The following is a 26453-nucleotide window of genomic DNA, read 5'->3' as shown; positions in this document are numbered from 1 at the left end:
GTGGTCCCCAGCACTCACACTCGGCAGGCCCTCTTGGCAGCTCTCCAGGATACACATCTGCAGGATGTGGCACCTGGGTTTTTAAGCCTCTGAGTCGCCTGCCAACTGTTTCTCAGGGTACCAGCTCAGGACACCTTGAAGGGATTTGCACACCAGTAGCCTTGGACCAACAAAGATCACCAAGGGAGCATACTGTGTCTGCCTTTGTCACTTTCCAAAGAGGTTCAGGACAGAGCTATGACTCCATCAGGGCACAGCCAGGTCCGTGAAAAGATGTCCTCTAACCCAGGAGACTAACAAGTAGCGGCATTTGCAGCCAGACATCCCTTGCTGTCCTTGTCCCTCCTCCCTTCCCATCATCAGCATCTTGCTTGGGGCAGACTGGCTGAGTGTGTCTCTCTACCCAGCTACATAGGCATTGATCTATGTTCACAGATGTTTCTGTGGGAAACTCTGGTGCTGCTAGTGCAGTTTTCTCCCCGCTTCTTAATTTATGCCCAGACCACGTTGCAGAGCTCTCTGGAACATGCTGCAGGAAGCATTCTATTTAAAATATAAGATGATGACAGAGTATAGAAACTAAAATGGGCTGTGCTCCTTAGCAGCTGGTCCTGACCTTTCTCCAAGGCAGCTACTGGAAACTGCAAGAAGCGGGAAGGAGAGAAGAGCCCCCTACTTCCAGCTTTTCAGAGGCAAGTCCCCCTAATGGAACCCAGGTGAACCTTCATCTTCAGATGACTCCTGTGTCCACATAAAGCTTCTCCAAGTAGTTTCTTCCCCACTTAAAAACTGGGTGAGATGAAGACAATAGCTAACAACACTTCCTGGGCACTTACTAAATGTCAGACACCATGGCTTACCTAGATTATCTCACTAATTCTCTCTCTGAGTGAAGAACGACCATTAGCTCCATTTTAGGGACAGAAATTTAGGCTTAGTGAGATTAAGTAACTTATTCAAGGCCACATTGCTAATAAGCAGCGGGGTCAGGATTCAAACCCAGTCCAGCCTGACAAAGAGGCCAGAGCCCCTGAACACAGTGGTATACAAGCTCCTTTTCCATTGCTTTCTTCCTCAAAATCCAGCCCTAAGTGCTGGTTATCCACCCCCACTGCCCTCAGACAGAGTGTCAGGTCATCCCCTATAGACCTCCCCTCTCACAAAGAAGGTACCACAGGTCTGTCTGGCCCCGAATGGAACCCCACTATCATTAGCATGGATGCTGTAGAACCCTCCCTATGCTGGTCCAATCAGACCAACTAGGATAGAAGCATTCGCAGCAATGGAAGCTGGCACCACCATTGTCTTTGCCTTGTCACAACATCAGGGTTCCTGCTGTGTAAATAACACATAGAGTACCTCACTACAGCTGACAGAGCTGGGGACCCCTTCTTGCTCAATTCCCTGCTATCTGCCTGACCCTAGTCTGCATGTTGGAACGGCTGCCTCATCAACCAGACCACCTCGGGGGCCCAGGCCAAGGGCTTCAGTGAAGAGAGCTGCCCAGCACAATGGATTCTGGGATTCTGGAGGAAAGTTACCCAGTGCAATGGATTCTGGGGTTTGGGAGGAGAGCTGCCTAAAGCAATTGGTTCTAGGATTCTGGAGGAAAGTTACCCATTGCAATGCATTCTGGGATTCGGGAGGAGAGCCACCTAGAGCAATGGGTTCTGGGATTCTGGAGGAAAGTTACCCAGCACAATGCATTCTGGGATTCGGGAGGAGAGCTGCACAGAGCAATGGGTTCTGGGATTCTGGAGGAAAGTTACCCAGTACAATGCATTCTGAGATTCAAGAGGAGAGTTGCACAGAACAATGGTTTCTGGCATTCTGGAGAAAAGTTATCCGGTGCAATGCATCATTCTGAGATTCAGGAGGAGAGCTGCCTAGAGCAATGGGTTCTGGGATACTGGAGGAAAGTTACCCAGTACAATGGATTCTGGGATCCCGTGAAGAGAGCTGCCCAGGGTGATAGATTCTGAGTTGCATTTCTGAAGGCAAAGAAAAGTGGGCTTTTTATCAGGCGCTGACTGAAAAGCAGCAGGTGTGTGCATATGAAGGAGGGAAGAGTGCAGTGAACAGGAAAGCATCCAAGTGGGAAATGATCTTCAAGGAGGAAAAATGGCCAATTGGGGCTGGGCTGTGAGTAGGCAGAGTCGTGAGAACAGCAGGCATGGCTGAGTGTGTGTAGAAGCACCAAGTCCCAGACAGCTATTTTTTTCCTGAGCTGCTGGATGGGAGGGGCGGGGAGTCAACACTGCACTCGGGGTCAGGAGGCATGGGGTTGAGGCCTGGCTTAGCCACTGAGTGCCTTGCCCTGGGCTCAAGGACTCAATTCCATGGATGTAAAGGGGAATACTCATCAAACTCACTGCACTGCCATGAGGATTAAATGAGTAGCTACTTGTAATCACAGGCTATAAAAGCACGCCAGTGGTTCTCAACCCTGGCTACACATTAGAATATTCCAAGGAGCTTGTAAAAAACACACTAATGTCAGAGCCTCGCCATTAGACCTCTAAAATAATTGGTTTGGGGCAGGGCTCTGATAAGCTTTTTTTTTTTTTTTAAACCCCCAAGGAGAGTCTGTTGTGCAGCCAGGGTTGAGAAACATTGCTCCAAACCAATGGAAGGTCACCATCACCACCACCATCATCATTAGATGTGCCTGTGTACTCTGCCCAGGAGGCTCTGGGGAGAAGTGCCAGCTACCCACTCCTGGGAAGCACCCAACTTTTAAATTCCATTTCTCTCCCCAAGCCAGGTTCTGGGTTTGAAATGCACCTGAGGCATTCAGCACAATGGTTTGATATGACTCCCTCCTCCATGGGGAAGCTGTCAGCTTTCCTTTTAGGAAAGCACCTAAGAAAGTCACTCCTCATTCCAACAAATAAAAGTGCTCCCGTTTTAGGCTTGGGGAACCCAGCAGAAAATCTGAAGCAAAGCTGAGGGACAAAGACCCCTTCAGAATAAGTGGATGCCTATTAGCCCCTCTGAGGCCCTCTAGTCCACCCGCTCTGGAGGGCAGGTCCGTGGTGTGTGCTCCCCGGTATACATCAGCCAGATTCCTCGCAGCAATGGCTTGGTCTAGACAAAACAAGACAGCAATAAAAACCAGCCAGGAGGTAATGACTGCCTCTGAAACGCATGTACACCTTGTTTCAGACAGGAGGCAAAGCCATCTGGATAATACACTGGCTCTAAACTGCAAGGAAAACAATGTCCCATCCCCAGAGGGGCCCGGGGCTCTGATAAAGAAGGCTTTTGTCTCCAAGAGGAGCTTCTCTTGGAGACACACAAAAGTTTCAATTAGATCTGGCAGATGGGTCTTGTCTCAACTCCCAGCATGTTATTCAGAAACGTGTTATTCAGAAACGTGTTATTCAGACACTGGGGTAGGAGAGAAGAGGTGAAGTTAGGAGTTTGTGGTCCCAGAAGTTAGCCTAGCATTCTTCTATGCCAATAGACCCGAGAATCAGCCACATGTCACACTGGAGATAAATCGTGGTTCTCTACGGACGAGTTAACACTAAACACAAACCAAGATAGAGCTGCTCAGCTGGGGGCTACAGGGCAGTTTCAAACCTGCTGCATGCATGCCAGGAGTGTGCTGGGAGTGATGGGATCAGGAGAGGTAACCCAAAACCTCACTCGGCTGCCTGGGGCTCTGTAGCCAACATGTCCTCCTCAAGGACACTTTGAAGATGCTGGATGCCTATGTAGCATTCCAGCCTGGCAAAGCCTCCAAATATTTCACTGTGTCACCCTGTCAACTGCGGGGTGGGCAAGAATGCCTATAAAAGGATATAGTGGTCCCCATCCACCTCCTAGAGCAGAGTTTAGCAAACTTTTGCTGTGAAGGGTCAGACAGCAAATATTTTAGGCTTGGTGGGCTATACGGTCTTGGCTGCACCTCAATTCTGCCACTGCAGTGCGAAAGCAGCCCTAGATAACATGTAAACAAATAGGCAGGACTGTGCCACTGTATTTTATTTAGAAAAATACTCAGGACATAGTTTGCCAACCCCTGTCCCAGAGGTTCATTCTCATCTCCCATGCTCAGGTTGGAGGGAAACGAATACAGAGGAAATAAGAAAGCAAAAAGTCAGAACTGAGATGTTCCTCCAACCCAGGTAGCCGAGGAGACGGGCTCTCACTTATCAGCTTGAACCTCCAGACCCTGAGCCGACGTTCAAACCCTTACAAGCCTTGTGGTCTTTGGGCATGGAAACTCCCATCACCCTGCTGTACCCTGTTGCTAGGGTGCCACCGGGCTGCTTGGGAAGGATGCGTGTGCTCCTTCCACTGCCAATGAGAAAGACGGCCGAAAACACGGACCCTCTAGGGCCACCAAACCTCAGCAGGTCAGAGAAGTTCCCCCCACAACAGTTGCTGATTTGGGAAAACTGCCTCCTGAGACTCTATACTGGAGCCTTGGCTTCAGCTATGAACCCATGGCTTTTTGCTGACAGGTATTGGAACTAGGGTTTGGGCCCCTACAGGACCGGATGGGGCCGAGGGCTTATCCCAGAGACTCGTGAGTGGGCAGAACTGGTATGTGAGATGGAAGTCAGGGTTGGGGTTCTTGGCCCAGCCCCTTGGCCAGGCGATTCTCCATCAGATAGATTTTTGTCTGGGTTATCAAGCATTCAAGCCATGAAGCCCTGTGGACTCTGTAAACTGCCTTGCCAGGCAAGCAGGTATGATTGAGTGTATCTAGGAAGGGACTGGGTTCTTTCCCTTTAAGAACCCTTTCTTTAGATTCCCAGGATGGAAAAGGGACAATTCCAACATCCTAGAAGATTGGCTCCCAAGAAGAGAAAAGGATAAGGGCACAATCTGTCTCATACCTCCCATCACATCCCCACTGAGGTCCAGTTTAACGCAAATACTCTGTATTTTTACTGAACCTGGGATGTTCCCCAAAGCCTTCCATAAGGAATTTAACCATTCTTCACAGGTTCTGCGTTGAACATCACTTTGACCTCTGACATTTCATTCCTCTCTGAAGAAATACCACTATGTCACAATGGAAACTGTTGCTAATAAGTTGTGATTTCCCAAAGCGTTACAGTTTATAAATGCTGTCTTAGGTGACTCGCCTCCCTTCAGCCTCCACGCTTTCCTGGGTTCCCTTGAAAGACTTACTCTATCCTCCTCCACCTGGCTGCCTGCCAGGGGGAAGAGAAGCAGGGAAGGAAAGAAACAGAAAGAGAAGGCCTTAGCCCTCGTCCAGGCTCCCCAGCTGCTTCCCTGCCAGGGCCCTTTTGGCCAGAAGCGCCACTCCAAAGCACTGGGGAATTCACTCCACTAGTGTGTGGGCCCCTTTGGAGCCCCCACAGCTCCCTGGCGGCTCTGTACTCCATGGGAATGACACGTCCTCTCATCCTCCATTAAAGCCACCGGAAGGTGAGCCTAGGAAAGTCTCACTGCCACGGGACAGGGCCGAGAGACCAGGTGGGCCAGGAGAAATCTTATACCTTCCCTCTCTGGCCCAGGGAGTGGAGAAGGGATAGAATTACCAGATGGGGTTTGGAACAGATATATTTGCCTCAATCAGGGCAGCTGCTGTCATTTTGAAATACTGTGGCCACCAAAAGACACCACATACAACATAGATGAGACATATCCACAAAGTAATGATGCTATTTTTTTCTTTGTTTCAACAAATAGACCGGAACGTTCGTCTCCTTAATTCTCACAACCAGTATCTTTATTCCTATCTAACAAATGAGAAAAAAAATCCAAGTTATTGACGGCAAAGGTGCCTGCTTTGGTGTCCTTTGTCGTGGGCATGCTCTCCCAGGTAGACTCTAGAGGCCTGCAGGACACAGGGTCACACCCTACTTTGGCCTCAGCCTGATCATCCAGACTTGTATGTCAGACTCGGCTCCAAAGAGGCTTTTGGTAATTTCCAAATATCAAATTCACCCTTCAAAGGACAAAGATTTGTTAGTAGGGAGGATTTTCAAAAGAATACGCTGAAAGCAACTGCAAAAGAGGGGGTACTGCAAAACCTTTCTGAGTCTAAGCATAGCCGCAGCATTCAGATAAGCATTTAGTCTCCCCAAGGAAAAAACAAGGAAGGGGATGACAGTGACAAGGATGAATAAGTTCTGCTGTGTTTGTATTAAGATAGAGAAGAAAAAACAAGTCTCCCAATTTTACCCTCACCTTGAATAATAAGACAGGCAGAAGCAGAAATGGGTAGTGGAAATGCACTCAGCGTTTTGGATAGGAAAATTCAAATGCCTTTCAGACAATACATGACTGCTATTTCACCCCATTCCCTTTGATGAAAAAGTGAAGCTGACTTCCACCATCAAGAATCAGCGGAACAGACAAATTCTTGGGATAACATTTTGTTTGATCCTAATCTACAACATCTGTAACATCAAGGGGAAAAAAAAAAGCACCCAGACCCTTAATCTATGCCTCCCACATTCCCACCAACTGAACAAGCCCCCTCCTAATATAAGCACATAGGAAAACATGCCTTGGGAATTTGAACAAACTGTGAAGGCAACCTAATGAATAGACAGACATCAAAATAGGAAAAGAAAAAAGCACTCCTTTTTTTATTTTTATTTTTTATTATACTTTAAGTTCTAGGGTACTTGTGCACAACGAAAAAGCACTCCTTTTTTAACCAGGTTTTATTTAGAAGAAAACAAAAAAGAAACTCAAAGTCAAGCAGTTCCTAGTTAACCACGGTTAAATATGTGGCATTTATTTGTCCCTCATTAAAAAGAAAAAGCATCCTAAGAATTCCAAACTCACCAATTTAACACTCTCTGGGACTGGAAAAATACATTCCCAAGATAGTTTTCCTAAAAATTTCCCGTAGAGGGCACTAGAGAGGTATGATTGAGGCTAGCTTGGGAATCACAGTCATTTCTGGTAAAAGTTCTTTGATGTGAGGAATGTCCCAGTCTGGTACAGTTGGCAAAAGTTCACTCTGGGGAATTTTGTGTGTGTGTGTGTGTGTGTGTGTGTGTGTGTGTGTGTGTGTGTGTGTCTTGGGAAGGGGTGGTTGAGGAAGAAGAGTGCTAGTCTGGTATTCCTTAACTCCAAAAAGGAAATACTGCCCTTGATTTATTTTCACAAGTTATCTGAGAAACAAATAGCAGCCTTGGAAAAGTTCTAGGTCTTGTTTTTGTTTTGTTTTTTCATTAAAAGGGGGCCCAGCTGATGAAAACAAGTTATGAAATGACCTATGTTTGTGTAACTGGCTGGATTGCGTAATGCTCAGGCCCTGAAACCGTAATAGTCAAGCAGCCAGGCAGGGCATATATCTGGGAGATGTTTTCCTAGGAAAGTTAGGAGAGAAAAAACAACAGCAAAAAGAAAAATCCAAGAAGGGGAGGTGTGTGCAACGGTTACTGACAAAACAAAATCACCAATGACCAACCTTTGAGATTAAAACTATAACTGGAACAGGAAATATTTTTCATGCCTCAAGTTCCTGCCATATATAAGAACAGAGGCTGTAACAAAGACTAGTCTGCTCCCCCCACCCCCAAAGTCACTGGAGCTCATGGCCATGTATTAAGATCCAGCTTCATGAAGCTAGAGAGGACGGGAAAGCTCTGGGTTGAAGAACTGGCAACAAACTAATCAGGAATATTGGACCCCCAAAAGAGAGAGCTGAAAAAAATAAAATTCACTTCCCCAGAGAAAAACCAGAGAACTGTCTCATATGGATCGGTCCACTGAGATGCCATAAAAGAGAAAGGCCCATCCACTAATTGCCAGGAAAGTCTTCCAGTACAGGAAGCGGAGAGAAATAAAGTGATTACAGGTTTTATCTGGTATGTAGTAAAGTTACCTTGAGCCCAAGATCGGGCAAGGTCATAGCATAGACTTGTGAAGGAACAAAAGCCTCTGAGGTCAGTCCTTAGGACCACAGAACAATTTTGTTCACACTTGGAGCAATGACAGAAAAATCCACCAGTTCCTCCTCGTCCCCCACCCAACCACCACCACACCAAGGAGCGGACAGGCCAAGAAACTTGTCTCAAGTGGCATTACCTTGCCAATCCCTCCGGTTTGAAAGGCGCCTCACACACTGCCGGGCCGAATGGGCAGGCGTCTATGCGAAACCCCGTGCACTGGTTATTGCTAATTGCAAAATACTCATGTGTTACAGCATGCTAGGAATTAGCCAACAGCTGCTTTTTGCTTCGGTAATGAGGCCCTATTACACTCTGCTGGACTGAGTTCTCTTCCTTCTTCCTAGCACTGGTTTCCTGTCTGATTTTCTTCCAAAACCGGGAATTGCCTCCGCTCACATCCTGGGCTCAAAGCCCTAGTGACACAGATTATTCAGTTGGGGCACTGATGTCCGGTCTGACTTCCCTCCAGGCCCCAGGGTCTATGCTAAACCAGGCAGTGAGATTGTAATACTCCAATGATCACTGCTAAAGACACATTAGGGAAAAGAACAGAGAAGAAATCAAAAGATCCCTTCCTGATTTCAGGGAGGAGGAGACAGACAGGCGTTTGGGGTTTGTCGAACGGGAGACGGAGGGAGTGGGTACAGACTTCAACCTATTCCCTCATTATGTTTACATTCAACACAAACCACTAGCGGGGCTGGGAAGCAAACATAATCAACAACTTTTCGGATTTTAAACTCATCACCTTGGTGCTCATTACGAAGGGTGCATTGACTGCACCCTCAATGAACAGACTAGGCTGTCTCTACTGTGGGTGCTTATAGGAGCACCATGGGAGGCAGAGGGAAGACAGAAAAGCCATTTTGGGGACTCACCAGGTATAGGGAATCACTTTGGAACAAGGGACCCCCCCATCAGATCCAAAAGAGAGCCACGTTCCAAAATTCTTTCCAGCTGAGTCCACCCCTCCCTGGAAGCCCACCCTAGCCCCTTCTAGAGGCCAAGGCCACCGCCTTATGGAGCATGAGCATCCCTTGCTGCAGCCAACTATGCTAGACTCCACAGATGCTGACCACGGTGGGCTTCATGTTGTATTGGGCCTGCGTTAACCCAGCTCTCTCTCGAGACAGAGCGGGTGGGGGAGCTGCAGCAGAGGGCAGACACGCCATCAGCACCCCCCCGCCAACAGCACCTTCCTGGTATTTATAAACACAGAGATCACACGCACAATCCCTCCAGTGCAAACCAGTCCGGCTGCTTTAGAAACAAGTTGTTTTCTGCTTCCAGAACCACCCAGGAGCCTGCGTGATGTCTCTTCCCCCACCCGACCCCCTCTTCCCTCTGCCGGTCTCCTTGCTCCAGGTACCCCCAGACCCTCAAGGTGCTCCTTCGTTCCTGGGGGGCAGTGCAGCCTCCTGTCCGTGATCCTTACAGAAGACGGGTCGGCGGGGGGGCAGGCAGGCAGGCAGGGGGCACACAGGCGGCATGAGCCAACCAAGGCTGGCTTCTTCCTTCCTGACCTTCGCACCTGATTCCCAGAGCGGCAGCCCTCGCCCTCGCTCCAGATTACTTGAAGGAGTCCAACCATGTTTCTGGGTCCCCAACCCCTTTCAGAAAGGAGTTATGACTGATGGAGAACGGGGAGGAGAGAGAGAGGGCTTTCCTGAAGGAATAGGGTCCCAGGATGTCGAGAGGTGCCAGTGGGTGCAAAGATTTTCTTGTCTGTCCACCACCCAGAGAGAAGACGCGGGGCAGGGGTGGGGGGGGGGGGGCAGACACTGGGGAGGGGGAGTAGTTCTTGGAAGGAGGTAACAGGCTCCTGGTAGGGGGCCTACAATTCCAGGAGTCTATCTGGGTAAAATATAACGTGAGAGGAAAAGGGCATGTTGTCTCTTCAAGCCCACTCTCCAATCCCCTAGTTTAAAAGGGGGTGGGGGGGAAGGGGAGGACGAAAATCCAGAACTTACAACGGTGGCCCGTAGGTATTTTCTCGCCAAGAAAAAGAAAAGAAAGCAAAAGAGGCAGTGGCGGCGAGAAGAGGGCAGGGGTCCGCCCGCGCCGCCAGGTGCACCGGGGCCCGCACCTACCTGCTGGCCGCCGCCGCCGCTGGAGTAGGACTCGGCGTGCGCAGGAGAGCCGCTGCTGCCCCGGGACGAGGTGTCAAAGTTCCCGGGATAATCCTGGTACATGATCCGCGGTGGGGGCCGGAGAGGAAACAGGGTGTTTTTCTTCCCCCGCCCTCGCCGCGGCCGCGCACCGGCTGCTGCGCGCTCGTTCGTCCGCCGGCCGCGCCGCGGGCTCTGGGCTTCGCTCCTGGGTTTCTCCCCCACCGCGGAGGGCGAGGACAGGGAGGCGGCGACACCTCAGGAACAGCGTCCCCCGAGCGTCCCTTACAGCACTTCTTTCCGGCTCTGCGAGCGCCGCGGGACCAGTTGTCCACCCGATCCCTCCCTCTAAAAAGTCGGCGCGTCTCTCGGTCCCTCCCCTGCGCGCGCCCTCCCGCCCCCGCGCGCAGCCGGAGCTCAGCGGGGACCCACGGCCCAATCAAAAATTGGAAATTAAAAAAAAGATTAGGAGCCCAGCGAGCCTGGCCTGCCAGCCCTGGGGACCCCCGATTTCAGACAGGGCCAAAAAGGCGGAAAGAAAAGCTGTCCGCTGGGAGAAACTTCTGTTTCTTCCTTTTAGAAAAGGAGCCGGAGAATAAACTTCCCGTGGCCGACTCGCCGCCCGAGTTTCGGGGCGGCTCGGATACTTGACTAGGAGAAGGCGGCGTGCGCCCGTCCCGCGGCCCCGAGCGCGCCAGGGGGACAGCGGCTCGTGGGGCTCAAGTAGAGCTGGCGCTGAGAGGGACGCGGCCCCGCTCCCCGCTCCGGCGCCCAGACCCGCACCCCTTCCCCGGAGCCCGCTCCCGGACGGGCCCGCCTCGCCCGGCCGCGCCTCTCCCTCTCTCTCTCTCTCTCTCTCCCTCTTTCTGTCCCCGCCGAGCGCCGCTCGTTCGCTCGCTCGCTGGTTCGCTCGGAGCCCTAGCGCTCTGCCCGAGATGAGTCACTACAATGGCACGAGTTCAACTCACACTCTTTATTCTCCAGCCCTGTACCATGTGGATTCACTCACGTCAACCCCAGACTCCACCTTGCAGGGAGGAGCGCACGAGGAGGCGGGGGGAGGAGGCCGCGGAGGAGGAAGAGGCGCGGGAGGGGAGGAGGCGGGCGCAGCTCTCCCCTCCCAGCCCCGGCTCCCGGCCGCGCTGACGCCAACCGCGCACCCCGCGCGAGGAAGCCAGGCGGTGGCACGGGCGGGAGCGGGCGCCACGCACGGTTCGGAGGCGCCGAGGCAGCCCCGGCCCTCCCCAGTCCCCCGCTCACCCCCCGGGCCCAGCGCCCTTGGTCTGTTCCATTGGCGCACGTTGCCAAAGATGGTCATTTGCGTTAGAGGACGCGAGTGCGGGTTTCCTCGCTTTCGGGTGACGTGGAGGGAGAGGGATTCCCTCGCCCGCTCCCGAGTGCGCTGCGGCCTCTCCCCCGCCCTGGGAAGGGGCTCGGGGCGGGGCCCCGAGAGCGGCCGCGCGGGTCTCGCCTCCGGATTTTAGAAAATAATCACAGCCCTGACGGCGAGACGGGCGGTTCGGTGCGGCGCCACCGGGAGGCCGGGAGCCGGGCGCGCAGAGCCGCTCGCAGGGAGGGCGCGGCTGCGCGCGGTCGTAGGCGCCCTCCGCGGCGCCGCCGAGTGCAGCGGGCGCCCCGGGCGCGCAGGGTGCCCGCGCCGCCCTGCGGCCGGGTGTTGGCGGGGCACGGCGCCGGGCGGGGCTGGCCTGCCTATTTTTCCCTCCGTGGCGGTCTGCCTACCGGTTCCCTTTTTGTTTTTTGTTTTTCATGTTTTCGGTCCTACAGTTAATTCGTTAGGAGTAGCCTTGAAGATGAAATTAACCAGTCAAGACATTCCGGCCGCCCTATACGCCGGGCAATTAGGACGCATCTAATAAGAGTAATCGGGCGTTTATAAGCAAACTCCAGACTGTTACGAATTAAAAAAAAAAAAAAAAAGCCAGCGAGAGGGTGTGCCCCAACGTTGTCGTCTTCAGCTGTTTTGGAGCGAAGTTCAGGGCGCGGGTTGCCGGACATTTGGGTCCTCCTCCCTCGCTGGGCGGGGCTGGGAGGGGCGCGGCGCAGGGTACAGAGCACAGACCTTAGAGCAGGAACGCCCGGCTACGCTATTTACGAGCTGTGAGATCTTGGACGAATTCCTTAACCTCTCTGGGCCTCAGTTTCCTCCTATAAAGTGAAGGAGTTTGGAGACATGACCTTAGGCCCTTCTCTGCTCTGGAGCTCCAATCCTTCCGCTGAGATGATGGTGTGTGTGAATGGAGAAGTACTGTAGCGGAAGTCAGGGAACTTAGGTTTTGGTCCAGGGTCTGTGTTAGCCTCAGTTTACCCAATTCTTAAGTAGCGCCAGCCATCTGTACCCCACAGGGTCCTTATGAGGACCCAATGTTAAGAGGTGTTGAGAGTCCATTGCTGACAACTCGCTGTGCACCGTCACACAACTTCTGTCCTCAGTTTCCTTATCTGCAAAGTGGGGGTGTTGGTAGCAGAGAAAAATAGAGCCGGGAACGCGAAGCTTTCCTGGGGCTCTATATAAAGCGCTGGCATTTCCGGGACGGCTGGCGGCATCTGGCCGCCCCAAGGGCCCCAAGATACGGTAATCCCAAACAATACTCGGGGTCATTGTTTACAGCTATAAAACACATTCTGTCCTGAACGCTATCCCCAAGGACGCGCGCGCGTGCGCGACGAGGCGAGGCCAGCCAGACTCCTCGCACCTCCGCTGCTGCCCGCTGGACAGAGTCCCCAACTCCGCAGGCCCAGGAGAGGGGTGTGGGGCAGGCGGACGCGCGCGCCGGCCGTGGGTGCTTTGCTTTTTTCTTCCCCCTCCCCATCCCTGCGTCCTGGCTTGCCTGGGTGTTTACGCGCCTCTCCCAGCAGGACTGAGTAAATGCAGTCCTTTGACGCAAAACGAATCAGTCCTTCCCCAGCGGCAGCAGCAAAACTCAGAAAACTGGGGGTGGGGGTAGGGACGGGAGGGGCACAGAAGAAATCGTGACATTTTCCCACTCGGTTCTCAGCCCCTCCCCGCGCCACGCGGGCCTCAGGCCGCCCTAGCCAAGTCTTGGGGGCTGCAAAGGGAGGCGCGGCCAAAGCGCCCTGCCTGAGCCCTCCCAGTAGCAACCGCGTGTCGGAGCGGCGCGAACAGACGCACTTTTGGTTTTCCTTTGAGCAGTAGAGGCTGCCCCGCCCTCCCCCACCTGGCGGTCGAAAATCCGGGTGCTTCTGGGTCTCTCCCACACAGTCCTTCCAGTAACGCGGGGGGAAAGAGGCGGGGGAAGGGGAGCGGGAGCTTCCTCCGCGGCCTCCGCAGTCCCGGGCGCGCCCAGCCCCGGCCAGGCGCCGCCGGGAGCGCGCGGGCGAGCGCACCCTCGCGCCCTCGCCCGCCCTCGCCCTGCCAGCTCCCCGGTCCTTTCCTTTCTTGTGGGTTCCCGTAAAGCCCAGCAGCCTGGAGACGTCTGCAGAGCATCACGGAATCTGTGCTGATGCAATTCACTAGCCTCCCTTTGGTGCGCCCTGGCCTGCCTCAGAGCGCTTTGATCCCGGCCCTCTCCTACTCCAGAACTCGTGCTGGCTCCCTCTGCCCGCCGGGAGGCTTGCGTTCCGCAGCCCGCTCACCCCCTTTCAGTCCCCCCAGCGCCGGACACACAGCGCTGTGCCCTGGTGCTGCTGCGGGACTGACCTCCCCCGGTTGAGCGAGTGCCTCAGCGAACTGTGCCTGCCATACAGAGAATTCAGTCTCCAAGTGCCCTCTCCTTGGGAAATCATTCCAGAATCATCCAGTTAGAAAGGGTCCTCTGGCTCCCTGGAATGCTAAAAATAGAGGTGACCCTTTATTGAGTGCTAAAATCAGAGCCAGGCACCATGCTGAATACAGGGCTTGTTCTGTGAAATTCTCACAGCAAACGCTGGAGGTGGGTATTATTCCCTGGTTGCAGAAGAAGACAGTGAGATTGAATAACTTGTCCAGGGGAACTGGTTAGTGAGTTAGTGATCTGTTAGGAGTGCAGCTGAGATTCTCCGACACCAGGCTCTTCTTTTTCCCCAGGACATGGCATGACCTGCCTCCTGTTGGAATGTCTTTGTCTCTCTCTTACTGGTCTTGAAAGGCATGGTCTTTATCTGGTGCATGACTTTATCCTACACTTAGAGGTGCGCCTTAATTCTCCACTGAACAAATAGCCTCAGCGGCATCCCTCAGCTTAGAGAAGAGGCCATGTCAAGTGAGGGAAGGGAAGGGGAAGAGGGAAGCTGGGGTGGGAAGAAAAGGGTAGATGAGCTGGGAAGAAAAGGGTAGGTGAGCTGTCTTCTCATTGCCTCTCTGGGTCTCTGAGACCTCTCTTGCCTTACTTTTGCCGGTCTCCTTGTTTGTCCATCCTGGCCAGTGTTTGGCCCCTGAGAGATGAGGAATCCCAGAATAGCTGCCCCCTCAGAGCTGTGCTGGCCCACACATCTCAGCACCGGATACATGAAGCCCTTTCACACACATCGCCTCATTTGTCCTTACACATGACATCTCTGAAAGGGATATAGACAGCAGAGTGACTCTGGATTGCCAGAAAGGAGGCCGAGGTGCAGAGTGTCACAGCAGCCTACTCAAAATTTTCCAGCTGTAAGTGTCAGAGCCTGAGTTCAAAGCCATCTCACCTGACTTTAAACCCAGCGCTTTGCTGTTTGCCATGCTTCCAACCTTGTAAGTTTAGGAGCAAACTCCATCTTTTTTTTTTTTTTTTTTTTTTTTTTTTTTTTTTTTTTTTTGGAGACAGTGTCTTCCTCTGTCTCCCAGGCTGGAGTGCAGTGTCGTGATCTCGGCCCACTGCAACCTCTGCCTCCCAAGTTCAAGTGATTCTCCTGCCTTAGCCTCCCAAGTAGCTGGGATTACAGGCACACGTCACTGCACCCGGCTAATTTTTGTGTTTTTTGTAGAGATGGAGTTTCACCGTGTTGGCCAGGCTGGTCTCAAACTCCTGGCCTCAAGTGATCAGCCCGCCTTGGCCTCCCAAATTGCTGGGTTTACAGGCATGAGCCACTGTGCCCAACTTACATCTCTTAATGATACACTGTCCTCTATATCCATCATGCCTGAATGAACCTGCCATCATTTCTTTATAGTAAGCCATACTTTTTGATGATATTGTAACATTTCTGAAAGCCAGATGTATCTTATAATCGATGACTATTGAATATGCAAGTGTTGCCGTTTTTGTCCAAAGACCTGTGAATCAGTCATGGGTCCATCAGGAAACAGACTTTAACCCAGATGGTTCAAAGGATGATGCTTTAATGGAGAAATTCCTTATAGAGGTATGGGCAGAGTTAAGAGGGAACTTGAGGCACCTAGAGCCTAGTAACAGCAGGAAATGATGACCATCCCTAGGGTTGAAAAGAGGAGGCAATCATGTTATTGGAGCCTAGTGAGCTTGGGACCATGAAAGAGGGGCCATCCAGCAGGTAGAGGGAAGGAGCCACTGCCAGAGATAGCCTGCTGAAAGGGAGGGAGGAGTTGGGGTCAAGAAATACCAGACCATCTCTCCCACCTCCTACCTCCTTCTCTGGCCAAATGGCAGGGGGCTGCTGATCAATGTAGTCCACTAAGGTTGGCCTCCCAGGGCACAGAGAATGGCAAAGAAGGGTAGAGAGCGCATCTAGTGGGGCACTCAGCAAATGGGGAATAACCAGTATAGATCCCATTAAGCACATGAGGGATCTAACGAGGGATCGTGTTTCAGAATGAAGGAAATAAGGTAAATCAGTGAGCCTTACACCTCACCTACTGTGGAAGTGAACAATGGAATAGCCTGAACAGCTTTTTCAAACCACATCTCCCCTCTTTACTGATACACGAAGCCACTCACAATGATACACGAGCCACTGAGGCATGTATTGTATCTCTCAGGTGTGGAGCAGAGAAAAGGCTATACCCACTGATGAACAGGGATCCACACCTGGGGAAGAAGCAAGTATGACTTTCTCTCCTGTGGCTTTACACAACCTCCTTGAAATTCCAAGAGCAACCCTCCCAGCTAAAGTCTTCTCAGATGTGACACATAAGCCTTCACCCAACATGATTCCCATTTCATGAATGGGCTATATGCCAATGGAGAAGAAATGAAGACAAGAAATATCACTCTAGAGGCAATCATAATCATAGTTTTAAAACAACAATCTCTATCTGAGTGGGGTATTACACATCTGTGGGTATGTTAAAGTTCATCCACAGGCTCTGCCCTTAGGATTACAGCATTTTCTTCATTTTACTTTATGTATGTTACCCTCAATTTAATAAAAAACAAGAAGCAAACAATGACAACAAAACCTTTTTATTTCCTTAGAACACATTTAGAGTTACATTGAAGTGTAGGCAAGACTTGTGAGAAAGCATATGCAAATGAGGCCTTTCTGGCCACCCCCACGAGGCCCCTAGGAGACTGAGTGGAATCAGTGCCCTGGTGGGGGTGGGGGAGGGGGCGGGCAGGAAGAGGGTACTTCCCTGCCACCAGTTTTTTGGTTTTTTGTTTTTTTAAAAGCCGGATACATTCCAGAGATAAAGTGACCAGTGCTATTATTCAGAAATATCTTTATGAGTCAGAACAGAAGTCACCCCTGGTAGGAATGTTTGTCAGGTTGGGAGAAGAGAAACAGGACAACTTGCCCCGCTTCTTCTCTGGTTCTAGGATCTGCACAAGCAGAGGCGGCACAGGGTTTGGCTTCCAGTTGGGAAATGAAGCTCCAAGGGCAGCCCTACTATGGCGGGCTGTGTGACCTGGGCCAAGCCCCTTGACATCTCCAGACTCGGCTTCCACATCTGCCACCACCAGGACACTGGATTGAATGTTGGGTACGTTGTAAGGCAAGGGAGACACAGAAGTCCTAAAGGCAATAAAGCTTTTCCCCACTGCCCCTCCATCTGGACGAGTCTCCTGCCAAGCATCTTCAAGTCCCACTTTGAAACACGATTCTGCCACCTTCCTGTTCTGAGGATCTGGGAAAGCAAGGGGGAAGGGGCTATTGGGAGTCCCGCTTGCTCCAGGCCCAGACCAGGAGGCTCAGGCAGGCTTATCTACTTCTGATGTGGTGGGGGGCCCAGGATGCTGCCAGGGTCTCACAGCCATGGTCTCACAGCCACTATCAGCCTGTCCTCAAGGGTATAAGAGAAGCTGGAAGCCTAGATGGGCACTGCCCTCAGGCAACTTCCAATCCAGCCAAGAAGAATAAAGAGTAACACACAAAATATTGGGGGCATGAGGCAATAACTGTGGGTACACCTATAAAAACCTCTAATTGGGCTTACCTGGTACCAGACAGTATTTTAATTGGATCATATATAGTGCATTAATTCAGTTAATATTCACAACACCCCTATGAGGTAGCTACAATTATTATCCCCATTCGATGATGGGGAAAACTGACATCAGAAGAGGTCAACTTGCCCAAGTTTCCAGAGCTGAAAAGCAACAGAGCTGAGATTTCACTGCAGGTATTCTGGCCCCAGAGTCTTGGTACAAATAGTGTTAATGAACAAGTCTTCTTCTGGTAAGAGCACCCCAATTTTCCTTTGGAGAACCTCCACTTCCTCATTTCATGTGCCATGGGTGACCCTACCCTTGAGCTCTTGAGGTGAACACATGGACACACGATCCAGTCCTGACCAAACAGAATATCTCACTTCCCTGGCTACAGTTAGTGATAGGTTCAGGATTGTAGCAATGACCCAAGACTGGCTTCTGAGAGTCACATTTGAGACTGTGGCTCAAACTCTTAGAGAAGCACTCGTTTTTCAACTGAGACACTACAGTCTTTACTACTCCTTGAAGACGGACTACCAGGAAGAAAGCCAACCTAGAGGGCTGCAAAGCTGAGCAGTGGAGAACAGCAAGTTCCTGATGACATTGTTTGATGGCCTAAACCCCATTATACTTCCACTGGTTATCTCCCTGGACTTTCCTGTTACACAGAAATTATCCCTTTTGTGTTGAAGCCAATTTGAATTGGATATCTGTCACTTACAACCAAAAAGGTCCAAATGTGCTAGTGAACACAGAGCACATACTGTGAGCAACTACTCTTTTTCTTCTTTCTTTCTTTCTTTTTTCTGAGACAGAGTCTTTCTCTGTCACCCAGGCTGGAGTGCAGTGGTGCAATCTCGGCTCACTGCAACCTCTGCCTCCTGGGTTCAAGTGATTCTCCTGCCTCAGCCTCCCGAGTAGCTGGGATTATAGACACGTGCCACCACGCCCGGCTAATTTTTGTATTCTTAGTAGAGACGGGGTTTCACCATGTTGGCCAGGCTGGTCTCGAACTCCTGACCTTGTGATCTGCCCACCTCGGCCTCCTAAAGTGCTGGGATTACAGGTGTGAGCCACCGCGCCCGGCCCGAGCACCTAAGCTTTTCAAGACATTTCCAGAAAAACAAATGCAGGTAAGAAAGGATCAGTCTTCAAAGAACTTGGAAGCTGGTGAGGGATTACAAAGATTCTCAAATAACTTTAAAACAAGTCAGAACACAATTGACAGCACAAGGCAGCTACCCGGGTTCTCTGGTTAATGCAAAGGGTGAGAATTTTCTATATTGGATGGAACACATCAGAAAAGTTCTCACGAAGGTGGTAGCAGTGAAATTGGCCTCAGAAGTCTGATAGGATGTTGGCAGGTGAAGGCAGGGAAGCTACAGGGCAGACAGCATGAGGAAGGGCCCAGGTTCAGGGAAGTATGGGCATGCAGGGGCAAGTGTAAATTGATGGGATTGCCTGGGACCAGAGGAAAGGTCTAAAACGTACAGTCTGAGGCTGGGGCGGGGTGGGGAAAGGATGGTTCTGAGGTATCTGAAGTATCTCCAAATATCTGAAGATATTCCCCATGGAAAAGAAACTAGGCTTATTTGGAGTGACCCCAGAGGACAAGACTACGACTAAAAATGGACGCTCGCAAATGGAGGAAGTAGACCTGACCCCTGACTAAGGAAGATGGTGCTACCTGTTTGGGGCAAATGTTCAAAAAGAGGCTGTGTCTGTATGGTGGATGCTGTTAAAAGGGACTCAGAAACCAAATGAGAGTCTGAATTAGCTGAGTTTAACATTCTGTGAGTTTTGTGCCAGACTTGGGACTACTGCAGAAGACCCTGGGAGAGTTGGGATTGAATTCCAAAGGCAGTGCTGATGGACACTGACTTGAGGAGCCAGGAAAGAAGGCAGGAACAGTGGTGGGGATCACAGCCTCACCTGTATCTGTGCACTTCTATAAATTCACAGACTGGGAATTTTTAATGTGAACTGGATATTAGATGATGACCAGGAATTGTTTTAATTCTGTTAGGTGGGATAATACCATTCACTGTGCTGTGTAAGATAATGTCCATATTGTTTAGAGATGCATACTGAAGAATATAGGATGAAATGACATAATGTTTGGATTTTTTATTTTAAATATTTCAGCAAAATGTGGGGACAAATTTTATATACATTATTTTTTCACACATATGTGGTATTCATATATACACAAATGTATATATTACACACATGTATATGTACATACATATATGGGTGTATATCTATGTGGGTATGTGTATATGCTACATGCATGTGCATAGCTGGTTAGCAAATAGAATAGTTAACAAAATAAGCCAGACACAAGATAATACATATTGTTCCATTATATACTTTTTTTTTTTTTTTTGAGACGGAGTCTAGCTCTGTCACCCAGCTGGAGTGCAGTGGCACAATCTTGGCTCACTGCAACCTCCACCTCCCGGATTCACAAGCGATTCTCCTGCCTCAGCCTCCCAAGTAGCTGGGATTACAGGCCCCTGCCACCATGCCTGGCTAATTTTTGTATTTTTAGTACAGACAGAGTTTCACTGTGTTGGCCAGGCTGGTCTCAAACTCCTGACCTCGTGATCCGCCCGCCTCGGCCTCCCAAAGTGCTGGAATTACAAGCATGAGCCACGTGCCTGGCCTATATACATTTTTTTAAGGCAAATGAATCTATGATGGTAGAAGTCAGGGCATGGTTGGCCTTGTAGGGTCAGGGGAAGGCAGAGACGAGAGGGGTCCAAGGGCCTCTGGTGCTGGCTGAGTGCTGTTTCTAGGCTGAGTAATGTGTGCACAGGCCTGCTGGCTCTGTGCAAACTCATTGAGCTGTGCACATGATTTGTGTACCTTATGTATGTTTTAGACTTCAATAAATTCACTCCAAAATACCACCCCCTACACACAAACACACAGACACAGACACACAGACACACACACACACAGACACACACACACACACACACACACACACACACACACACACACACACGGGGAGAGATCTGAAGTAAGTAGGATTCCTCCATTGATCATTTCTTGAGAAGCGGGGAGAAGACATGCTCTGGGCTATGCTTTAAGCAAGAGTTTTCCAAACAAATTTGCTACTTTCCAGAGTGAGATGTTTTTTTCCCATGACCCATGGGGCATATGTCATGGGCTGCAGCCTGAAGTTGAAAAGTCTGGTTTTAAGCTGATCTCTCTGGTGGCAGGGTAAAGAATGGAAGGCAACAGGAAGAGCCCAGAGAGGAGGCTGGCAGCTTGTGTCTTCTGCCATGGTTCAGGAGAGAGGTAGGGAGACTCTGTAGCAGGGCCAGGTGACAGGAAGGCAAGTGTGCTTCAGAGAAAGAGTCCAGCTTCATTGTGTGGGCAGGCCCTGCCACTCCAGCTGCCTGGGGTATGCTCAGAGGGACAGGGGAGGCCTGCACAGACTCAGCCAGACACCCCAAGGACAACACACGCAGAGTGCAACCAGGTGCTGCCAGAATCCCCATGAGTGTCCCCCTGGGTGTCAGCACACCCACCCCACACCCCATGGATCAGCTGCTGTGGGTCACTGAGCACGTGCGCTGCTGCCTGGGGCCCACACTCCCCACGCCCCTAAAGACACACAGAGCCTGGGGAGTGGTGGCTCTGTTATCTGCGCCAAGGAGCAGATCATGCGATATCCTGCTCAGGACACGTGAGAGGAGAGGGAATGTTCCTGGAAAGACAGAAGCAAGGGAGGAATGAAGAAAGGGAGGGAAGGTGGAAGGGACTCCACTGGTTTTTCTTTTGAGGCAACTGTGATGTTTCCAGAAAGAGCCTTACGTTTGTAGGCAAAAAATGGGGGTTTGATTCCTGGCTCTGCCAGTTGGAGCTTCGGTAACCTTGACAAAGTCACTTCATCTCTATATACCCAGTTCATCTGGAGCAAAGAATGTTGATTGTGTCCTTAGCACACAGCAGAAAGGGCCATGAGCTTAGGCCACAGAGGCCTGGGTTCAAATCTTGGTTTTGCTACCTGATAGCCAGGGGACCCTGGGTAGGTACTGAACCCCTCTGCGCCTCACTTTCCTTCCTTGTGATGTGGTGATGATAACAACACCAAGATTTCCAGGCCACGGTGAGAATTACACATGTATGTATTTATCTAACTATCCACCCACCGTCTGTTTATTTATACTCTGCCTTATTCCCAAAAGGATTTCTCTAGCTATAGGAAGATTCACTGAAACAGCCCGGAAGGGGCATGGCACATGGGTGATGCCCACAGTGTTACATTCCTTTCTCTGCCCATCTCACAGGGTTGTGGTGAGGCTCCAGTGGGATAATGTTTCTGAAAATGTCTCACAAAGTGGGAAATTTCATACACATGCAAGTGGGGAAGAAAGGAAGGGTCTGGGGAAGCTGAGGCAGGAAAGCGTGTCCAGCAGCTCACAGAAAAAAGAGTTTGGGCTGCTGAAGCTCTGAGGTCTTCCACCTACCAGCTGGGGGCCCCTGTGCTGTGGCATCTGGAATAAAGCAGATGTGGGAGAAGCTGCGTCTACAGGATCCTGTAGTGTCAGAACTAGAAGGAACCTGAGAGTGTATTTGGTGCAACCCCCCACCATTATACAAATGTGGGAACTGTGGTTCAGAGAGGGAAACAGCCTTGCCTCACATCACCCAGGGCACCAGAGGCAGAGCTGGGCCAAGACCCCCCATTTCCTGATGCCAGGCGCAGGGTGCCATTTCCACTGCCCCATGCACCTGGGAGCCCAAGGCACCTCCCTCACTCTGGCCTGGGGCACCTGGAAGCAGGTCTGCAGGAACTTCACTTCCCAGGAGGAATTCTGGGAGCTTACAGCAGAAAGGCTCAGTCCGCTCACCTGTAAGTGTGCCTGGGGCCCTACCCTGTTGACATGCCCAGGGGCTCCTGAGTAGTGACGTTAGCCAATGAATAGAACCCGCAGCCAAGACCAAACACAGGGCCTTATTGTTAGGGACACTGATTACTGCACTGGGTTGGGCATTTATTTATTATCACCTCTTTCTTTTCATTAACAGAAAGCAAACATTCCCCACCCCAGTAGCTAGAAGGCGACTTACCTGCACAAGAAGACAGGTGATGTCTCTCAAGGCTGGGTTAGAAGCAGATCCGACCTACTTACACAGTCCTTCCATCAGATCCAACGCAGGCGAGGGGAGGAGAGATTCAAGTCACACCTAGCGAGAGCACCCTCAGGATGCAGAGGCTGTTACTAAACAATGTCGAAAGCTGTGGTGTGGGGTCAGGAGCCAGACAGATCTGGCCCTGCTCCGCGCTTTGCTTCCTCCCTGAGCCTCGGTGTCTTCACCTGTAAGATTTTAGAGGTTAAAAGGATTAAATAATATATATGTGTCAGCAGCTAGCATGGTATCTGGTACAGGGCACTCAGTAAACAGCTGTATCTCAGGGCACAGCGAACCTTGTTTCTGCAGATGAAACTGTTGGGTAACAGACACTCCATAAAGGTTGATCCTCTGAGGCTGAGTGTCCTCTTCTAGGAGTCTTAAAGACAGAAAATGATAGGAGAGGGTAATAGCCCACATGTCATCTCACGCTGGGCAAGGGGAGAAACGTGGTAGCCTTTTCAAGACACTCCATTCTCCTAGTTCAGCTTTCCTGTCAACGTTTCCGTCTCTCTCAGAGCTCGCAGCCCCACCGATTCCATCAGTGAGTGATCTGCAGTCTCTCTCATTCTTCCATTAGGACAAATCATTCAGATCCTTCTTTCTCCCCACTAGAAGCACCTTTCATTTGGGAGGTCCAGGTATTCTTCTTGCTCCCACTTCATAAGCTTCAACTCCTTTGAGATTGTGTGTGTGTGTGTGTGTGTGTGTGTGTGTGTGTGTGTGTGTGTGTTTCCGCCCCCCACAGCCAAGGTAGAAGTTAATTGAGACCTTCAAATAAAGCTTCCAGAAGACCTGATTCAGAGACAGCATTACCTAACGAGGATGGCTGAGCAGTGCTGAGTCTGAAGTTGAGACAAGGTCTGGATCTCCAGGGGACAGAGCAACAGAAATACTCCTTACTTCCCTGGCTTCCTCCCACAGGGGCCCTCCGCTTCCTGTAGTGCCAGGTAGGAGCTAGAGAGGCCCAGGGCCCCTAGGCGGAGGCCATCGCCCACAGCCTCACCCTGGCTGTCTGTGGCTTGGGGCAGGGGCCTCTAATTTTCCAGATTATTTGTTACCTCCAGCAAAATGCTTAACAACAGCGCTAGGGATGGGCATCTGAGCACATGAACGATTAGGTTTGACCTAAACAGATTGTGAAAGCTGGAAAAGACCCCGAGGCATCACTGAAAGCATTTCCCCAAAGAGTGAGGAAGTTTTGCAAGGTGATAGAAGATGGTAGTGGATAAAAGCACTGTATTTTCAAATAAGTTTGGAAAATATTGGGGTTAAGTGGATTTCTTTACTTAGGACTTCTCAGAGCCTTTAATGTACCAGTGCAAATTGGGACTCTCCAGGATGCATTTCTCAAAAGCATCCCATGAAACGGTGATTCGGCCACTCTCTGGTGTTACGGCGAGGAAACAGGCACAAAGTCCTAGGGACAGGGCCACCAGGGAGACCGGAGTCTCTGCATTTTCCCTGGTATCAAAACTAAGCCCATTCATCCTTTTTCTCATTTTGTTTTTGCCTTGTAATCAGGGGCAGAGGTGGTGGGATTGGAGGGTTTATTTATTTAGATGTATGTACTCTGAAGACCAGAACTAAGGCCAGTGGGTAAAAGTTCCTGTTGAGCAAAATTTCAGCTCCACCCAAGTAAGAACTTTAAAATAATTAGACCTGTTTGGACATAGATGGAGCCAACTCATGCAGTAGTGAGCCGCCCATCACTAGAGGGGTCTAAGCCACAACCTACCAACCACTGAATGGTATAGCAGGTTGAATGGTGGTCTCCCAAAAAGATAGGTCTGTGTCCAGATCCCGGGAACGTGTGAATGTGAGCTTATTTGGAAAAAGGGTCTTTGCAGATGTAAGGAGGTTAAGAATCTTGAGAGGAGGAGATCATCTTGGATTCTTGGATTATCTGGGCAGACCCACAATTCAACAGGAAGTATCCTTATAAGAGTGGGGTAGAGGGAGATGACGCACACAGAGAAGGCCTCACAAAGACAGAGCAGAGACAGATGCAGGGACAAGCTAAAGAATGCTGACAGCTCCAGAAGCTGGAAGTGATGAGGAATGGATCTCCCTAGGGCCTCCAGAGGGAGCGAGGCCCTGCCGACACCTTGATTTCCGACTTCTGGCCTCCAGAACTGTGAAAGAGGAAGAGTCTGTTATTTTAAACCACCAAGTTTGTGGTCCTCTGTTATAGCAGCCACAGGAAACCAAGAGAGGTAGGGGTGCTGAGGAGGAAGGCGGCGAAGGAGTCTGCACTGAGTGATCCCAGGGCCTCTTCTGACCCCCTGCCCACTGGTCGTCACCCCCCATGATACCTTTGATTCGGTGATGGGATAACTGTGGTAGGATTCCGCGTCTGTCCCGGGAAGGGGGAAAGCAAATGGACTCAGCTTCAAGGCAGAACTTGAGCTGCTGCTTCCGCAGCTCTGCCAGAGCCACCAGCAAAGGTGCCTACTTTGGCCTCTTTAGAAGATAGTCCCTTAAAGTCAAAGAACCTACAACCAGCTTCTAGCCCCCAGGGTGTCATACCATCTCCACTAAGTGGTCAATGGGCTGCCAGGCAGGTGCCAGTCAAGACTGGCTGAGAAGCTACGAGTTGGGCTATGAGACCAGCTTCAGTCAGTGTCAGTCAGCACAGGGAGGCTGAGCAGCTCAGGCACCGGCTGCAGCTACAGAGGCCTTGCTGGGTCTGTTTTGTGTCCTGGGGTCTCCTGCCTCAGGGACAGAAATCAGCCCAGTGACCCTCCCCCTGCCATAGGCACACACAAGGGAGGAAAGCTGGCACCCATCCTCCACCCCATGTGCAGCCTGTTCCCTTCCTCTGCTACACGCGTGCACTCTTACACGCACTCAGGAGCTCTGTTGCAACAGCCTCTGTGCCCGGAGACAAGCGATAACACGCCCTCCTGCCCGTCTCTTCTTGCCTTTAGTGCCTGGCAAATTAAGACCAAACCCAAGTTGCAGGGCAAAAGAGGATCAATTACCAGGTAAAGGAGGAGGCTGCGGTTTGAATGTCTCAGCAGCATTTTGGGGAGACCTGGGGACAGGATAGAGAGGGGCTGAGGCCAGTGCTCCCTTCAACACTGCCAGTTGTCCAGATGCCTGCAACCATTGGTAAAAGCAAGTCTCAGTTGCTTTGTCCCTAAAGCCAGGAGCCCAGCTGGTTGTGTCAATCAGGGCTGGCCACTCCCTTCAGGGCTGGCCACTCCCTTCCTCTTTGGGGAGCAGAATGAGCTTTGCCCACCTGGTAGAGCGGTGCTGGGTGTCCTGGGCAGGAGTCCCAGCCCTGGCACACCTGTGTGTGCAGTCTGACTGGCTTACCTAGAGCCCAGCAGCCCTCAGTGTCCTCCCTCCTTCCCTCCCTCTCAGGGTGGGGAGGGTTCCCACCTGCCCAGCTTCAGTCCGGGCAGACCCATGCTTCCCCCCACACCCTCAGAGACCCAGGCATCCACCTTCAGAGGTGGCCTCTCTTTACCTGTTGGTTCCCCCTTTCCAAATTAACCCCAAACCCCAACACCACTCCCCAAACCTGAGTCTGGGGGGAAGGGAACGTGGCATTCTCCCCTTTCTAGGTCAGAAATGTTTTGTAACCAAGCCCTCGGGCTCTGCAAATGTTTGCTTGCAGGTTGCTTTGCTCAGCTGGGGCAGGGCTGGGCTGAAGCCCCCATGTCCTCAACTGCCTTCTTCCCCTCCCTTCACCACCCTAATTTCAGGCTCAACTGTGCGCGTTTAGGGCTTCATTAAACTCTTGTCTTGCTTTCAGAAGAGACACTTTCTGCCCCAGGGAGTTGCTACCATGCTTTGTGGAGAGGGCAGGTCCGAGCAGGCTCCAGGTGAGGGCCTGTTGGGAGGGAGAAGGAACATCCTTGCTGGAAGCTGCCTAGAGGTGGCCAAGGGGAAGCTAGCGGGGCGGGAGGCTCAGAGGGTGCCCACCTTGGTGAGGGTCCCCCCGGCACAGAGGGTCTCCCTATCTCCACCACCACCGCTGCGTGCCTCGTTCAATGATCGCAGGTCGCGGT

The 26453-nt window shown here is 51.2% G+C and overlaps 1 protein-coding gene and 2 long non-coding RNA genes across 6 annotated transcripts in view, besides 9 other annotated features; 1 reads left to right on the top strand and 2 right to left on the bottom strand.

The window, feature by feature from the left end:
* Positions 1-10950, bottom strand: part of FOSL2 (FOS like 2, AP-1 transcription factor subunit) — a 24460-nt gene extending 13510 nt beyond the window's left edge. For 3 of the 4 annotated variants that reach the window (XM_005264231.5, XM_006711976.4, NM_005253.4), the window contains exon 1: positions 9986-10950. In XM_005264231.5, coding sequence (XP_005264288.1) covers positions 9986-10087 — 102 coding nt within the window. In that variant the 5' untranslated portion in view covers positions 10088-10950. Of the gene's footprint in view, positions 1-8031; positions 8083-9985 lie in introns of those variants that run through there. The other variant, XM_006711977.4, reaches the window with a different exon arrangement.
* Positions 8832-9332: an enhancer, noted in NCBI's record as "H3K4me1 hESC enhancer chr2:28617343-28617843 (GRCh37/hg19 assembly coordinates)". NCBI's record gives its function as "activates a minimal SCP1, AML or CMV promoter by ChIP-STARR-seq in primed H9 embryonic stem cells {active_cell/tissue: H9 hESC(primed)}" and the evidence as "EXISTENCE:reporter gene assay evidence [ECO:0000049][PMID:30033119]".
* On the top strand, positions 9136-19399 carry FOSL2-AS1 (FOSL2 antisense RNA 1). Its single transcript, NR_103831.1, has 2 exons — positions 9136-9260; positions 16675-19399. It is a non-coding gene; the product is annotated as an FOSL2 antisense RNA 1 (long non-coding RNA).
* Positions 9333-9833: an enhancer, noted in NCBI's record as "H3K4me1 hESC enhancer chr2:28616842-28617342 (GRCh37/hg19 assembly coordinates)". NCBI's record gives its function as "activates a minimal SCP1, AML or CMV promoter by ChIP-STARR-seq in primed H9 embryonic stem cells {active_cell/tissue: H9 hESC(primed)}" and the evidence as "EXISTENCE:reporter gene assay evidence [ECO:0000049][PMID:30033119]".
* Positions 9951-10127: a silencer, noted in NCBI's record as "fragment chr2:28616548-28616724 (GRCh37/hg19 assembly coordinates)". NCBI's record gives its function as "represses an EF-1alpha promoter that drives an FKBP-Casp9 reporter gene in an ReSE screen in phorbol 12-myristate 13-acetate-treated (for megakaryocytic differentiation) K562 erythroleukemia cells {active_cell/tissue: K562(+PMA)}" and the evidence as "EXISTENCE:reporter gene assay evidence [ECO:0000049][PMID:32094911]".
* Positions 9951-11733: a biological region, named in NCBI's record as "H3K27ac hESC enhancer GRCh37_chr2:28615755-28616686".
* Positions 9989-10920: an enhancer, noted in NCBI's record as "H3K27ac hESC enhancer chr2:28615755-28616686 (GRCh37/hg19 assembly coordinates)". NCBI's record gives its function as "activates a minimal SCP1, AML or CMV promoter by ChIP-STARR-seq in naive H9 embryonic stem cells {active_cell/tissue: H9 hESC(naive)}" and the evidence as "EXISTENCE:reporter gene assay evidence [ECO:0000049][PMID:30033119]".
* Positions 10614-11733: a silencer, noted in NCBI's record as "silent region_11308". NCBI's record gives its function as "represses an Ori minimal core promoter by ATAC-STARR-seq in GM12878 lymphoblastoid cells {active_cell/tissue: GM12878}" and the evidence as "EXISTENCE:reporter gene assay evidence [ECO:0000049][PMID:35858748]".
* Positions 13281-13350: a silencer, noted in NCBI's record as "silent region_11307". NCBI's record gives its function as "represses an Ori minimal core promoter by ATAC-STARR-seq in GM12878 lymphoblastoid cells {active_cell/tissue: GM12878}" and the evidence as "EXISTENCE:reporter gene assay evidence [ECO:0000049][PMID:35858748]".
* Positions 16913-26453, bottom strand: LOC105374383 (uncharacterized). The gene is made up of 3 exons (XR_939876.3): positions 26368-26453; positions 22372-22619; positions 16913-16982 (listed from the first exon to the last, which is right to left on the bottom strand). It is a non-coding gene; the product is annotated as an uncharacterized LOC105374383 (long non-coding RNA).
* Positions 22896-23396: an enhancer, noted in NCBI's record as "H3K4me1 hESC enhancer chr2:28603279-28603779 (GRCh37/hg19 assembly coordinates)". NCBI's record gives its function as "activates a minimal SCP1, AML or CMV promoter by ChIP-STARR-seq in primed H9 embryonic stem cells {active_cell/tissue: H9 hESC(primed)}" and the evidence as "EXISTENCE:reporter gene assay evidence [ECO:0000049][PMID:30033119]".
* Positions 23397-23897: an enhancer, noted in NCBI's record as "H3K4me1 hESC enhancer chr2:28602778-28603278 (GRCh37/hg19 assembly coordinates)". NCBI's record gives its function as "activates a minimal SCP1, AML or CMV promoter by ChIP-STARR-seq in primed H9 embryonic stem cells {active_cell/tissue: H9 hESC(primed)}" and the evidence as "EXISTENCE:reporter gene assay evidence [ECO:0000049][PMID:30033119]".

Source organism: Homo sapiens, chromosome 2, assembly GCF_000001405.40.
Source record: "Homo sapiens chromosome 2, GRCh38.p14 Primary Assembly".
Taxonomy (NCBI): domain Eukaryota; kingdom Metazoa; phylum Chordata; class Mammalia; order Primates; family Hominidae; genus Homo; species Homo sapiens.
Note: the sequence above shows the minus strand (reverse complement) of the source record. Positions and strands in the feature narration are given on the sequence as shown.